This window comes from Homo sapiens, chromosome 2 (assembly GCF_000001405.40).
Source record: "Homo sapiens chromosome 2, GRCh38.p14 Primary Assembly".
NCBI lineage: Eukaryota > Metazoa > Chordata > Mammalia > Primates > Hominidae > Homo > Homo sapiens.
Window position 1 is genome coordinate 63,207,122 of NC_000002.12, and position 17,106 is coordinate 63,224,227.

The window sequence follows — 17,106 nt, forward strand, 5'->3', positions numbered from 1 at the left end:
TGTATTTATTATGCTTATCACTAGTCCTTACATAGATGTCTCAAGTCATGTTGGCTGTTTGAATCTCATTATCCAATAGATTTCCTAGTAGTGGCTCATGGAAATAATAGTGATATGGTTTGACTGTGTGTCCTCACCCAAATCTCATGTCAAACTCATGACAGTGAGTTCTCACAAGATTTGGTTGTTTCTGTAGCACCTCCCCCTTCACTCTCTTTCTCCCTCTCCACCATGTGAAGAAGGAGCTTGCTTCCCCTTCACCCTACCACCCTGATTGTAAGTTTCCTGAGGCCTCCCCAGCCATGCCTCCTGTACAGCCTGCGGAACTATGAGTCAATTAAACCTCTTTCCTTAATAAATTACCCAGTCTCTGGTAGTTCTTTATAGCAATGTGAGAATGGACCTAATGCAAATAGGTCGTTTTGGCTCACCTTTTTCTTGAGTATCTTAAATATATTTCTGTATTGCGTTCTGGCATAAAGTGTTGCTGACAAAAAGTGATCATAATCCATTTTCATTCATTTATAAGAACTTGGTCTTTTCATCTGAATGCTCAGAGGATTTCATTAGAATATGTCTTGATGTCGACCAACTTGGGCTGGTGTTTCCAGGTCATGATGTGCTCTTTCATTACTACTATAAAGTTTTTTTCTATTTCAGGAAATTTTTCTTAAGAGTTTTTCAGGATTCTGCTGTATTGCGTTGGTTTTTCTTCTCTAGGAATTCTCATTTTATGTATGTTGGATCTTCTTTGCCTATCATCTTTCTCTAGCACTTTTTCTTGAGTCCATTTTCATTTATCTTTCATTTTTAAGTGTTTCCTCTTTTAAATTCTCTAGTTATCATAAGCAATTGTGTTTACTTAGTCTTGTGATCCTTCTAAGTTAATGTTCATTTCTAACATGATTTTTTTGTTTCTTATTCTTTCATTCTCTAAAAAATCTTCTTTAATCACCTCTGAGTTTGTTATCCTTATTTACATTATTCTTTCATAACTTATATCACTGTATTTAAGATTATTTTAAAATATTGGGGTCAATTCTCATCTATTTGTGGGCATGTCTTTCTAGAGTGCTTTCATTGTTGATAGGGAAATTATTATTCTTATTCTGTTTTTCAAATGCTGCTTTGTATGAGATGTGATTGCAACCCTTTGTTCTTGTTCATTTTTATGGAAAACTGCCTTTTCTGTACCTTTAAGGGGGTGAGTGTGCCAAGAAAGCTTTCTTATCTGCATAGGTCTGGAGCTTCTGAGTTTGTTGTGTTCATCATATAGAGAAAAATATGGTCTTCTATTTTACCCCTTTAATTTCTACATTCTTTTTCCTTTTCCCCCATTGTGCCTGGTGTGCTCAATTTGGGCTCTACTCTGAACTGTTTCTCCTAAGTTTGGGGATTCATCTAGAAAGATTATTTTGATTTGTTAGTCTTAAGCATTTATAGGATCCAGAATCTAGACCATCCCAGCACCTCCATACTTTCTACAGTTTTCTTGTATCCACAAATTGGAATCTACAGAATCATCTCTATTTTCTGCTGCTGTTCTGAGAATGACTTCACAAAATCTTCCAATTAGTAGTTGAAGTTTTCATCTGTCTGGACCATTAGAAGTCCCCCTACCTTCCGTGTGTTTCTCCCATGAAGCTGTTGTTGTTGTTATTTTTGTTTGTGTGAGACTCTGCTTTCATGGTCTGTATTTATACTGAAAATCAAGATCAAGTCAGCTTTTGCCCTTCTGCTCCATAGGAGGTTTATACCCTCCCTGAGCTTGCCTTGGAACACCTGCATTATTATTTCATAGGTATACCTGCACCCTCCCACACTGCTTCCCCCCAGTTTAACTCCCCATTTGGCCCTGGCTCTGGCAAGGGTTGTATCTGGCTGGTGTGACTGGGTGCTTACAGCCAGAAGTAACAGCCCATTAGGGCTTGCTTTCTACTCTCCCCATACTGGGCCAGTAAAAAACAAAAACAAAAACAGTAAGAGTAGTGATATATTTCACAGGCAGCCCAAAAGGCTGCCTCCATCCCACTCCTTCACAGGGGTGCCTCTAATTATTTTACTTTTTGTAACTGTAGAATTGCATAACACTTTATTCCATAAAATAGAATAAATGTTCTCCCTCACACTTATTGTTCACCTTTCATAGCTGTTTCTGCCATACTCATTCCCTTGGCTGAGGTTTCACTGGACAGTAGGTAGGAACAGTAGGAATCTTGGTCATCCATTCATGCGTGTCACTAATTAAATGACCAAGCTTTAGGGTTCCTTGAGAGACCTATAGTTGCTACTGCCACTTACCTGAGCCTCATTGAATTTTTTCATGTTGGCATTCAGAGGACTGCACAGAAATCACATTGCTTCAACACCCACTGTGGACCCTCTAGACCTCATGAAGTTTTTAGTGGGTCCTGTAGCTGTTGGTGATTTATCCCTGTCCACTTATGTTTTGGGGTTTATAAGAATATGTTGTCACTAAAGCTTGTTGTAGATGCTGTCCATGGATATTGGTGTTCATTATTGTAGTTGCTCTTTCTGTTAAGAGAGGTTCCAGGGGATTAAAATACTTCAATGACAGCATCTTTTTAGAATTATCTAGCAGCACAGATTTTAGTAAAAACAAGGAATAATCCAAACACCCACTAATTGGATACTGATTAAATTGTAATATATTCATACAATTGAATAATATAGCTATAAAAAAGAGAAGGGGTCAGTCAACGTATACTGACATATAGCGTTCCAAAATATTTTGTTAAATTTTTAAAAAGTCATTTTGCAAAACAGGAAGCATGATTATATTTTGTTAAAAATATGTGAAAGGGGAAAAGCTAGAAAATATGTACTGTGTTAAGATTCCTTTTCTGGTTGGTGGCATTATACAGATCTCTTATTTTCTAAATGTTTGAGTTTTATGTAATGTGAATGTATTAACTTGTCATTAGAAAGAAGAGTACATTTTGAAAACAATGGCTATGCTATAAAATTAAGATAAAATTAATATACATATAAAATTATAAATGTTATATATTTACAGAATATACATATGTAATTGCAAACCTAATATAGGCTGTTAGGTTTCTAACAGTTAACATTATTTGCCTCTGAAGAGAAGACTGGATGACTACAGAACAAGTTTGGCAGTAGACCCTTTAACTAGAAACCTTTGGAATTCTGAGCCATGTGTGTATTTATTATTCAAAAAATTAAATGTAATTTAAAATTAAAAGTTTCACAGATTAAAACTTCTTTGGTGTAATTAATTTACACAAATTAAAATTTTTTAAATTAAAATTTGTGTAAATTAACTTTACACACATTTAAAACTCATTTAAAATAGTTAATGTAGGGGGAAGTTCCAAGATGGCGGGATAGGAACAGCTCCAGTCTACATTTCCCACCGTGAGTGATGCAGAAGACAGGTGATTTCTGCATTTCCAACTGAGGTACTGGGTTCATCTCACTGGGGCTTGTCAGACAGTGGGTGCAGGACAGTGGGTGCAGCCCATGGACTGTGAGCCGAGGAAGGGCAAGGCATTGCCTCACCCAGGAAGTGCAAGGGGTCAGGGAATTCCCTTTCCCAGCCAAGGGAAGCCATGACAGACGGCACCTGGAAAATCAGATCACTCCCACCCTAATACTGCGCTTTTCCAATGGTCTTAGCAAATGGCACACCAGGAGATTATATTCCATGCCTGGATTGGCAGGTCCCATGCCCACGGAGCCTTGCTCACTGCTAGCACAGCAGTCTGAGATCAAACTGCAAGGGGGCAGCAAGGCTGGGGGAGGGACACCCGCCATTGCTGAGGCTTGACTAGGTAAACAAAGCAGCCAGGAAGCTCGAAATGGGTGGAGCCCACTGCAGCTCAAGGAGGCCTGCCTGCCTCTGTAGACTCTGCTTCTGGGGGGCAGGGCATAGCTGAACAAAAGGCAGCAGAAACTTCTGCAGACTTAAACGTCCCTGTCAGACAGCCTTGAAGAGAGTAGTGGTTCTCCCAGCATGGAGTTTGAGATCTGAGAATGGACAGACTGCCTCCTCAAGTGGGTCCCTGACCCCCGAGTAGCCTAACTGGGAGGCATCGCTGAGTAGGGGCTGACTGACACCTCATACAGCCGGCCAGGTGCCCCTCTGAGACGAAGCTTCCAGAGGAAGGATCAGGCAGCAACATTTGCCATTCTGCAATATTTATGGCTCTGCAGCCTCCGCTGGTGATACCCAGGCAAACAGGGTCTGGAGTGGACCTCCAGCAAACTCCGACAGACCTGCAGATGAGGGTCCTGACTTTTAGAAGGAAAACTAACAAACAGAAAGGACATCCACACCAAAACCCCATTTGTACGTCAACATCATCAAATACCAAAGGTAGATAAAACCACAAAGATAGGGAGAAACCAGAGCAGAAAAGCTGAAAATTCTAAAAATCAGAGTGCCTCTTCTCCTCCAAAGGAACACAGCTCCTTGCCAGCAACAGAACAAAGCTGGATGGAGAATGACTTTGACGAGTTGAGAGAAGAAGGCTTCAGAAAATCGGTAATAACAAACTTCTCTGAGCTAAAGGAGGAAGTTTGAACCCATCGCAAAGAAGCTAAAAACCTTGAAAAAATACTGGACGAATGGCTAACTAGAATCAACAGTGTAGAGAAGACCTTAGATGACCTGATGGAGCTGAAAACCATGGCACGAGAACTATGTGATGCGTGCACAAGCTTCAGTAGCCAATTCGATCAAGTGGAATAAAGGGTATCAGTGATTGAAGATCAAATGAATGAAATGGAGCGAGAAGAGAAGTTCAGAGAAAAAAGAGTAAAAAGAAATGAACAAAGCCTCCAAGAAATATGGGGACTATGTGAAAAGACCAAATCTACGTCTGATTGGTGTATCTGAAAGTGACAGGGAGAATGGAACCAACTTGGAAAACACTCTTGAGGATATTATCAAAGAGAACTTCTCCAGCTAGCAAGGCAGGCCAACATTCAAATTAAGGAAATACAGAGAACGCCACAGATACTCCTCGAGAAGAGCAACTCCAGGACACAAAATTGTCAGATTCACCGAAGTTGAAATGAAGGAAAAAATGTTAAGGGCAACCAGAGAGAAATGTTGGGTTACCCACAAAGGGAAGCCCATCAGACTAACAGCAGATCTCTTCACAGAAACTCTACAAGCCAGAAGAGAGTGGGGGCCAATATTCAACATTCTTAAAGAAAAGAATTTTCAACCCAGAATTTCATATCCAGCCAAAATAAGCTTCATAAGTGCAGGAGAAATAAAATCCTTTACAGACAAGCAAATGCTGAGAGATTTTGTCACCACCAGGCCTGCCTTACAAGAGCTCCTGAAGGAAGCACTAAACATGGAAAGGAAGAAATGGTACCAGCCACTGCAAAAACATGCCAAATTGTAAAGACCATCGATGCTAGGAAGAAACTGCATCAACTAACGAGCAAAATAACCAGCTAACATCATAATGACAGGAACAAATTCACACATAACAATATTAACCTTACATGTAAATGGACTAAATGCCCCAATTAAAAGACACAGACTGGCAAATTGGATAAAGAGTCAAGACCCATCAATGTGCTGTATTCAGGAGACCCATTTCACGTTCAGAGACACACATAGCCTGAAAATAAAGGGATGGAGGAAGATCTACCACAAAAATGGAAAACAAAAAAAAAAAAAGCAGGGGTTGCAATCCTAGTCTCTGATAAAACAGACTTTAAACCAGCAAAGATCAAAAGAGACAAAGAAGGCAATTATATAATGGTAAAGAGATCAATTCAACAAGAAGAGCTAACTATCCTAAATATATATGCACCCAGTACAGGAGCACCCAGATTCATAAAGCAAGTCCTTAGAGACCTACAAAGAGACTTAGACTCCCACACAATAATAATGGGAGACTCAGACACCCCACTGTCAACATTAGACAGATCCATGAGACAGAAAGTTAACAAAATTATCCAGGAATTGAACTCAATTCTGCACCAAGTGGACCTAATAGACAGCTACAGAACTCTTCACCCCAAAGCAACAGAATATACATTCTTCTCAGCACCACATCGCACTTTTTCCAAAATTGACCACATAGTTGGAAGTAAAGCACTCCTCAGCAAATGTAAAAGAACAGAAATTATAACAAACTGTCTCTCAGACCACAGGGCAATCAAACTAGAACTCAGGATTAAGAAACTCACTCAAAACCGCTCAACTACATGGAAACTGAACAACCTTCTCCTGAATGACTACTGGGTATATAATGAAATGAAGGCAGAAATAAAGATGTTCTTTGAAACCAATGAGAACAAACACACAACATACCAGAATCTCTGGGACACATTTAAAGCAGTGTGGAGAGGGAAACTTATAGCACTAAATGCCCACAAGAGAAAGCAGGAAAGATCTAAAATTGACACCCTAACATCACAATTAAACGAACTAGAGAAGCAAGAGCAAACACATTCAAAAGCGAGCACAAGGCAAGAAATAACTAAGAACAGAACAGAACTGAAGGAGACAGAGAACCAAAAAACCCTTCAAAAAATCAATGAATCCAGGAGCTGGGTTTTTGAAAGGATCAACAAAATTGATAGACTGCTAGCAAGACTAATAAAGAAGAAAAGACGAAGAATTAAATAGACACAACAAAAATGATAAAGGGGATATCAACACCGATCCCACAGAGATACAAACTACCCTCAGAGAATACTATGAACACCTCTACACAAATAAACTGGAAAATCTAGAAGAAATGGATAAATTCCTGTACACATACACCCTCCCAAGAATACACCAGGAGGAAGTTGAATCCCTGAATAGACCAATAACAGGCTCTGAAATTGAGGCAATAATTAATAGCCTACCAACCAAAAGAACTCCAGGACCAGATGGATTCACAGCCGAATTCTACCTGAGGTACAAAGAGGAGCTGGTACCATGCCTTCTGAAACTGTTCCAGTCAATAGAAAAAGAGGAAATCCTCCCTAACTGATTTTGTGAGGCCAGCATCATCCTGATACCAAAGCCTGGCAGAGACACAACAAAAAAAGAGAATTTTAGACCAATATCCATGATGAACATTGATGCAAAAATCCTCAATAAAATACAGGCAAACCGAATCCAGCCGCACATCAAAAAGCTTATCCACCATGATCAAGTGGGCTTCATCCCTGGGATGCAAGGCTGGTTCATTATATGCAAATCAATAAACATAATCCATTAGATAAACAGAACCAAAGACAAAAACCACATGATTATCTCAATAGATGTAGAAAAGGCCTTCGACAAAATTCAACAGTGCTTCACGCTAAAAACTCTCAATAAACTAGGTATTCATGGGATGTATCTCAAAATAATAAGAGCTATTTATGACAAACCCGCAGCCAGTATCATACTGAATGGGCAAAAACTGGAAGCATTCCCTTTGAAAACTGGCACAAGACAGAGATGCCCTCTCTCACCACTCCTATTCAACATAGTGTTGGAAGTACTGGCCAGGGCAGTCAGGCAAAAGAAGGAAATAAAGGGTATTCAATTAGTAAAAGAGGAAGTCAAGTTGTCCCTGTTTGCAGATGACATGATTGTATATTTAGAAAACCCCATCATCTCAGCCGAATATCTCCTTAAGCTGATATGCAACATCAGCAAAGTCTCAGGATACAAAATCAATGTGCAAAAATCACAAGCATTCCTGTACACCAATAACAGACAAACAGAGAGCCAAATCATGAGGGAACTCCCATTCACAATTGCTTCAAAGAGAATAAAATACCTAGGAATCCAACTTACAAGGGATGGGAAGGACCACTTCAAGGAGAATTACAAACCACTGCTCAACAAAATAAAAGAGGACACAAACAAATGGAAGAACATTCCATGCTCACGGATAGGAAGAATCAATATCATGAAAATGGCCATACTGCCCAAGGTAATCTATAGATTCAAGGCCATCCCCATCAAGCTACCAATGACTTTCCTCACAGAATTGGAAAAAACTACTTTAAAGTTCACATGGAACCAAAAAAGAGCCCGCATTGCCAAGACAATCCTAAGCAAAAAGAACAAAGCTGGAGGCATCATGCTACCTGACTTCAAACTACACTACAAGGCTACAGTAACCAAAACAGAGATATAGACCAATGGATCAGAACAGAGCCCTCAGAAATAACCCTGACTTCAAACTATACTACAAGGCTACAGTAACCAAAATAGCATGGTGCTGGTACCAAAACAGAGATATAGAACAATGGAACAGAACAGAGCCCTCAGAAATAATACCGCATATCTGCAACCATCTGATCTTTGACAAACCTGACAAAAACAAGAAATGGGGAAAGGATTCCCTATTTAATAAATGGTGCTGGGAAAACTGGCTAGCCATATGTAGAAAGCTGAAACTGGATCCCTTCCTTACACCTTATACAAAAATTAATTCAAGATGGATTTAAAGACTTAAATGTTAGACCTAAAACCATAAAAACCCTAGAAGAAAACCTAGGCAGTACCATTCAGGACATAGGCATGGGCAAGGACTTCATGTCTAAAACACCAAAAGCAATGGCAACTAAAGCCAAAATTGACAAATGGGATCTAATTAAACTAAAGAGCTTCTGCACAGCAAAAGAAACTACCATCAGGGTGAACAGGCAACCTACAGAATGGGAGAAAATTTTTGCAATCTACTCATCTGACAAAGGGCTAATATCCAGAATCTACAAAGAACTCAAATAAATTTACAAGAAAAAAACAACCCCATCCAAAAGTGGGCAAAGGATATGAACAGACATTTCTCAAAAGAAGACATTTATGCAGCCAAAAGACACATGAAAAAATGCTCGTCATCACTGGCCATCAGAGAAATGCAAATCAAAACCACAATGAGATACCATCTCACACCAGTTAGAATGGCGATCATTAAAAAGTCAGGAAACAACATGTGCTGGAGAGGATGTGGAGAAATAGGAACACTTTTACACTGTTGGTGGGACTGTAAACTAGTTCAACCATCGTGGAAGTCAGTGTGGCAATTCCTCAAGGATCTAGAACTGGAAATACGATTTGACCCAGCCATCCTATCACTGGGCATATACCCAAAGGATTATAAATCATGCTGCTATAAAGACACATGCACACGTATGTTTATTGCAACACTATTCACAATAGCAAAGACTTGGAACCAACCCAAATGTCCAACAATGATAGACTGGATTAAGAAAATGTGGCACATATACACCATAGAATACTATGCAGCCATAAAAAAGGATGAGTTCATGTCCATTCTAGGGACATGGATGAAGCTGGAAACCATCATTCTAAGCAAACTATCACAAGGATAGAAAACCAAACACCGCATGTGTTCTCACTTATAGGTGGGAATTGAAGAATGAGAACACTTGGACACAGGATGGGGAACACCACACACCAGGGCCTGTCGTGGTATTGGGGGAGGGGAGAGGGATAGCATTAGGAGACATACCTAATGTAAATGATGAGTTAATGGGTGCAGCACACCAACATGGCACATGATACATATGTAACAAATCTGCACATTGGGTACATGTACCCTAGAACTTACTTAAAGTTTAATAAAAAAAAAACTAAAAAAAAATAAATAAAATAGTTAATGTAGAACATGGCCAAACTTAATTTTTTTCCTAAAAATTTATTAGCTTAGGAAATTTTTTAATGAAGTAAATGGAACAAAAGGTTTTATACTGAAAACTGATGTTTTCTACTAAGGACTACTATAATGAAAATGTGGTCTAAAGACACTGAATTGGGTTCACCTGAAAGAAATATTTTAAATGGCATTACTTCCAATAATTATTCTGGCAATTGGTAGGATTCTTGAACCTATCAAATACTTTAAACAAAATTTAAAAAAATACCTCAGTGATACGTTTTTCCTTTGAAGCATAGGTACAGTCTATAAATCAAGAACCAAAACAATCTGTTAGAACAGGGTTCACCAAACTAAGTTCAGACAAAATCCAGGCTGATGCCTGTTAGTCTTTAACTTTTGAGGTAAGAATGGTTTTTACTTTTTAATGGTTGGAAAAACATCAAAAGAATTTTCTGAGATCTGTCAATGTTATATAGAATTTATATTTATGTCCATAAATTCAGTTTTATTGAACTCAGCCTTGATTATTCATTTATCTATCATCTATGGCTGCTTTTGGACTACAAGGGCAGAGTCAAGTAGTTGTGACAGAAACTGTGTGGCCCACAAAACCTAAAATACTATCTGGCCCTTTACAGAAAAATAAATTGCCTACCTCTGCTTTAAAATATTTCATTAATCTGGAAAAGCTGGGTGTATTAGTATCATGAGTTTTAAATCCTTGACCTTAGTATTATTTAGGTTCTAACAGAGTGATCAAAGAAATAATTGGTTTGATCCTCAATTAGGAAAATTTTTCATTTTCATTCATGATTTAGGTACATTCTTGAGACCAACAAATAAAGTATTTGAAATAGCTTTCTTTCTCCTGAACTAAAACTTTACCTCTCAGCTGTCATCTTAGAGTAAAAGGGAAGACTAACATATCATTTTGTGCTGAGCCACATAATTAATGGACCAGTGCACACATTGATGGGTTTAGATGAAAAGCGACTGAAATTTGAACTATTAGCTTTCTCTTTCTTGTTACTTCAAAACTAGTTTGGGCTTTAAACATCGACTTACAGGTGTTTATCTTTTCTTAGTTGTCAGATAAATGGGGTTCCTGAGACATCATTTTGCAGTTTGGTCCACCTCAAAAAGAAAAACCCAAGAATCCCACAATTGAACTCCTTGATAAAGATTAGGCTATTTAAGGTTGTCCCCTTAAGGTTGCCTCTGTGGAGATATCCTTCAGAAATGAAAAATTTGAAGTATCATTATTGAGTACTAATTTACTGAGCAGTTATACAGAATGCTCTTTACCTTAAAATTTGAGTACTAATGAGAATTCAATTTGATAATTTATGGTAAATGGATTAAAACCTTTAATACTTATCTAAAAGCTATACATTTGAATTACTACCCTTATTGAAATTTAGACCACAAAAATTATTTTGTTTTAAGTAAAGTTTCTGGTCAGTGAAGGAGGGGATTATGGGGCATTTTTATTGAATATATTATGCTTTCCTGTACTGTATGAATTTTACAAATGAATATATATTACTTTTATTAGAAATATGATAGCGTTATCTTATATTCAGGAAGGGATATTAGCACTATTAATAAAAGTCAAACTAATATTTGTTTTCATGCCTTATTTCAGTTCAGAACTGTACAGTTGTAAGAAAAGTATGATGGGAACATATATGTGTTTCTGTTTAATATCTTAAAGTTAAATTGGATGTTTCTCATAAAATACAGCATGCTTTAAAATACAGATTGTTCTTTTATTTATTTATTTTATTATTATTATTATTTGAGACGGAGCCTCGCTCTGTTACCCAGGCTGGAGTGCAGTGGCCCTATCTCGGCTCATTGCAACCTCCGCCTCCCGGGTTCAAGCGATTCTCCTCCATCAGCCTCCTGAGTAGCTGGGACTAAAGGCGTGCGACACTACGCCCAGCTAATTTTTGTATTTTTTTAGTAGAGACAGGGTTTCACCATGTTGGTTGGCCAGGATGGTCTTGATCTCTTGACCTCATGATCTGCCCACCTCGGCCTCCCAAAGTGCTGGGATTACAGGTGTGAGCCACTGCAGCTAGCGAAAATACAGATTGTTCTATAGTTCTTTTTAGATACTAAAAATCTCCAATGAAGTTTTTGTTATTAATTGCAATTTTAATTCAGTATATAGGGTTAATAGTATGTTTTAAAATATGGCTTAAAACCTGACACAAAACAATAGAATGCTTTTCTTTGTCCTCAACCTGAAATACGTGCTGAACTACAATGAAGGCTGAGTTAGCTAATTATGATGTTTAAATATACAATTTACATGTATGCATAGTGTCATAAATCTTTGCAATGCTCTTTACTATTAGGGTTTGTTATTTAGTATTTTCCAGATGGATGCTTTTACGAGCCAAAACATAGGAACATTTTCTGAATTCACCTCTGGGCATTAAGACAAAAGAAGTAGAGGTATTATAACCTGACTTGTTTGAAACATCACTATGCTACTCTGAATGACAGTTTACAATTTACAAGTAGGGTGTGGCTAAAAAAGTCACTGAAGCAGACATAAGCATAGGTTTTCCCTCATACATACTTCCGGCCTGTCAGTCATGCCTCTCAAATGCTTTGTTGCACAGGCATGCCAATAAGTAAAACCACATTTTATCAGTTTTGTGCCCAAAGGCTTTTAAAAGGCCATGCAACCATATCAGTGTTTGAAAACCCCAGATTAAAGTTGAAGTCCTCAAGCAGATACTTTTCTTCCATTTAAAAGAGTAGTCTTGTATTTTCTTAAAGTGATTGATGTAAGAATGATAAAAACTTAATATTTTAACAAAATTGTTAAAACTTTGGTTATTTATCTTGCTTCCAACATTTTCTATAATTTTTACACATCTAAAAAATTCTAATGTGAATGAATTAAAATATGTATCATTTTCACTGAATGTATGCATATTAAGATATAGTAAAAACAGGCCGGACACGGTGGCTCACGCCTGTAATCCCAGCATTTTGGGAGGCTGAGGCGGGCAGATCACGAGGTCAGGAGTTCGAGACCAGCCTGGCCAACCAATATGGTGAAACCCAATCTCTACTGAAAATACAAAAATTAGCCGGGGGTGGTGGCAGCACCTATAGTCCCAGCTACTCGGGAGACTGAGGCAGAAGAATCGCTTGAACCCAGGAGGCAGAGGTTGCAGTAAGCCAAGATCGCGCCACTGCAATCCAGCCTGGGCGACAGAGTGAGGCTCTGTCTCCCAAAAAAAAATAAAAAATAAAAAGGTATAGTAAAAACACAACAAACAACAAAAGCCTTTGGCGACATTGACTGCACCTCCTTCTTCTGCTACCTGAAATATGTCATCCTTAAGTTTTAACTTAAAGGCATAGATTTGGGTAGCTGAAGCCAGATTTTAAGCCAATAAAAGTTGCACATGTATTTTAGCACTTTCTGGTTTTAGAAAACTGATTGATTCCCATTATCATCAATTTCAGAGCTGGCCATGGAGTTTTTGAGAATTTGTTAGCTTCTGGGATTGGAGAATGGGGTGAGAACTTAATGAGAGAAGTAGGGATCAGCAGAAAAAGAGAAGGGGGCTAAATCTGACTGAACATAAACAACTCTAGGCTGAATATTAGGTGGTTGGTTACATCTGTGACCCTGAATGGCTCTAGGAAATGTTTAGCTAAAATTGATAGTATGGATATGTTTTGGAGGAAAATGGTGTCTCCAACTTGGATTATGTCTTCTGATAACTACTGTTTATTGCTTGGCATATTAGAAGGTTTACTCTGAGTCGTTGTAGTTTTTTTTTGTCTGAAGTTCTTTCTAGCTGTCGATTGGCAAGGGTTTGTGAAATTACCCAGTAGTGCAGACAAAATGCAGGTATGGAAGTTAAAGTTACTATGCAGTGATGTATAAATGAATGTAGTACATTATTATATGCATATTTTTCTTTTTTTAAATTTAATTTAAAGTTCCAGGATACACGTGCAGGATGTGCAGGTTTGTTACATAGGTAAACATGTGCCATGGTGGTTTGCCTATCAACCCATCACCTAGGTACTAAGCCCTGCATGCATTAGCTATATTTATCCTGATGCTCTCCCTCCCCCTGCCCACCAAAAGGCCCCAGTGTGTGTTGTTCCCCTCCCTGTGTCCATGTGTTCTCATTGTGCACCTCCCATTTACAAGTGACAACATGTAGTATTTGGTTTTCTGTTCCTGCATTAGTTTGCTAAGGATAATGGCTTTCAGCTCCATCCCTGTCCCTCAAAGGACATGATCCTATTCTTTTTATGGCTGTATAGTATTCCATGTTGTGTATGTACCACATTTTCTTTATCCAGTCTATCATTGATGGGCATTTGGGTTGATTCCATGTCTTTGCTATTGTGAATAGTATATGCCTATTTTTCAACAATGAGATAAGAGAACCAGGAGTGTTGTCTATATCATATGTCGCTGTAGAACTATTTTTCCAGGATTCATGTAGTATTAGTTTTCTCTTCCCTTCATCTGAATGGTGAATAGAAGAATATGAATTCTTCCAGCTAAAGCAGCTGTTTTGTAATGCTTTCCACAATTGCATACATAAACTGTGGGATAAGGGAATAGGCTGTGGGGAAGTTAATAGTGGTAGAAAACTTTGATGAATGATATACTAATAGAACAGAGGAGCCAATAGGCCCAGTGAAGGTAATAGAGCCATTTCGATAAGCACATCTACCACTATCAGGATTAAAGGTCATCCTTGAGAGGACATGTTTGTTATAACATCCATAGCAACAGTTTCCTAAAGGTATTTAGAAGACAGTTCAGATGTAGCAACTTCTTGGACGTTGTGGGTCTTTGCTGGAGGTACATGTATCACAAAAGTAAAGCTTTGCTGGAGCTTTTTAAAAGATACATAGAACCAGGTGTATTGGTAGATAACTTCCCCTCCATTTCCTGGCCTGCATTCCTTATCTTCAGGGGCTTGACTCTAAAAGGTTCTCCATTAGGTCAGGCATTGCTATATGTAGGTGTCCACTTGTTGTTTCCTCCTAATTATCTCAGTTAATTAAAATTGTGTAGAGAATTTATGACCAGAACTCAAGCAAAACCTTGTATTTTTTTGAGAAAGTTCATCAGGTAGGGCAATGACATTAGAAAAATGGGTGATGAAATAACCTGCAAATCCTAGGAACATTTAAATATCTTTGAGGAGGGGTGCGGGCTGTCCCATTCTGGGTTGGATCCTTTCCCATAGTTGGAGAGAACATTACTTATAAGAGTCACCACCAGGCTCTCAAAGATACAATTTTAGGGATTGGTCCAGTGGTAGTACTCTTGCAGGCAATTCACCTGTGCCTGGACAGAGACTCATATGCAGTTGAGGCTAAAGAGAGAAAGCAGTTTCATCTCTCTATATATATGTTTACTCCTAATATTACAGACCAACCTTTGTAATGTGCCTATAGCATTTTATGGACTTAAGAACATCACCAGTTAGTTTTAGTAACAGACACTTTTAACAGTGTCTGGAAGGCTTCCTCACTTACAATTCTACTGTTTAAGTTTAGCTTCTTTAAAACTTCTACCATCAGACTTGTGGGGATTTAGCACAACAGGATTCCCTCAACTCCCAACCTTTAAAAAACAAGACACTGGCGTGGCCATAGATCAGGAATGTGGGAGCAAGGGCCTCTGGCTTAGATATTAAATACACTGTTTGTTTATCATGTCAAGCACCTAGTGTTTCACCTGCAGTTCTGGTGACAACGTAACTCCTCTGTCTCCTCATCTGAGAAGACCTATAGGAAGCAGTACATTTGGTTAGAATTTTAGGAGTGGATAGAGCAGATGGCACATCTAGGTAGGTAGTTTGCAGACTATGCTTAAGGCAGTGCCTGGAGGTGAAGCTTATCATAGTTTAAGTCAGCACTACACATAGCTGTATCAGCTGCATTTGTAGCTGTAACATTTACTGTGATTTTGTGTACAGGTATAAGCAACTAAATAATTTATGTCTTTTAGTATAGAATTGTTACATGAATCTATTTTTTTAACTTATAAATTATTTTCCATTTATCTCTTCTCTATAAAGTTATGACATTTCATTGTCATTAATAATATGTGTACATATACATGTGTTCATTATGAGTTCGATTTGAGTAAAGTAAAATTGATCTTCTTTGAAATATGTTTTAAAAGGGGGAAAAGGTCTAAGAGGGTTAAGAATACCTGATTGATATAAAACATAAGAAAATATGGGAAAATGATCCTAACAAACCAATTATCTATAACCAGATAAGATAAAATGGGTATAATCTTTTAGTCCTTAATTAAACAAAATATGACTGTATCAGTACTAAATATAAATATGTCTATATGTAGGATGTCTTACATTTTAAATGAGAAAGCTAGCAATTCCTATTTGACGAAACAACTCACCTGCTATCAAATATGATTATGAATTCTATTCATACTTGAATGTTGGGTGAGTTTTGACTAAATTGGGCAATGCATTTGCAACTATTTGGATAATTTCTTATACACAGATGGCAATCAGCAAAGACCTAGATTCTTCATTAACCTAATGATATTATCAGAGAACGTTTTACCACCCTCACGTGTGAGAATCCCGAGATAGCATATTGTTTGGTTGTGAAAATCTGATTGGCACTCACAAACTAGCCATTATAAAGGCAATATTCGTACAGTTACATAAAGGCTCCCCTGGCAAAGAGAAACTAAATAGTAATAATCCAGTCTGTGCTTTTCTGTGGAGCTTACAAGAGGCCTTATTCCAGGGCAGTAAGTGGGCAAGGATTGAGTGAATTCTGCGAAACATAAGACTCACTACAATTGTGGCATATGGTGGCAGGGCTATAGCATGGCCAGGTAAATACCTAGCAGCAATATGTTTCAGGAGATTGGCCCTCTGCTTCTAAACTATTTAATCCATAAGGAATCGCTTTGTGTGTATGCTATTAGGCGGGGGTTTAAAAACTTACATTTTAATCACATAGATATCCAAATAACCTAGCACCATTTATTTAAAAGATTATCCTTTCTCTTCTGCACTACAGTGTCACCTTTGTCATAAATCATATGGCCATACTATATATGGGGTGTGTTTCTGGCTTATTTGCTTCCGTTGGTCTGTTTGTCTATTCTTGCATCAATATCACTATTCAATTACTATAGACTTGTAAAAGTTCTTGATTTCCAGCACTGTAAGTCTTCCAGCTTTGTTGTTCTTCAGAATTGCCTTAACTATTCTTGGTCCTTTGCATTTCCATTTTCATCTTATAATCAGTTGTCAGTTTACACCAAAAATACTGTTATAGGCCTAAAGAGACACCTTACCAAAGAAGATATACATATGGCAAATAAGCATAGGAAAAGATACGCCACATCATATGTCATTAAGGAAATGCAATTTTCAATAATGAAAATAACAAGGAGATATGACTACACACCTATTGGGATGGCCAA

The 17,106-nt window shown here is 38.0% G+C and overlaps 1 protein-coding gene across 19 annotated transcripts in view, besides 1 other annotated feature; it reads right to left on the bottom strand.

The window, feature by feature from the left end:
- The window catches only part of WDPCP (WD repeat containing planar cell polarity effector), a 721,268-nt gene that overhangs the window by 87,563 nt on the left and 616,599 nt on the right, over positions 1-17,106 (bottom strand). For 2 of the 19 annotated variants that reach the window (XR_007076380.1, XR_007076379.1), the window contains one exon: positions 2,302-2,535. The exons of 16 other annotated variants lie outside the window; for them this stretch is intronic. Coding sequence is in view for 1 of the 3 variants with exons in the window: in XM_011532887.4 (XP_011531189.1) it covers positions 2,518-2,535 (18 nt within the window). In the remaining 2 variants the exon portion in view is untranslated. Of the gene's footprint in view, positions 1-2,301; positions 2,536-17,106 lie in introns of those variants that run through there. One more of the 19 variants, XM_011532887.4, reaches the window with a different exon arrangement.
- Positions 12,019-12,219: a silencer, noted in NCBI's record as "peak3728 fragment used in MPRA reporter construct". NCBI's record gives its function as "represses an SCP1 promoter by STARR-seq MPRAs in K562 erythroleukemia cells {active_cell/tissue: K562}" and the evidence as "EXISTENCE:reporter gene assay evidence [ECO:0000049][PMID:32103011]".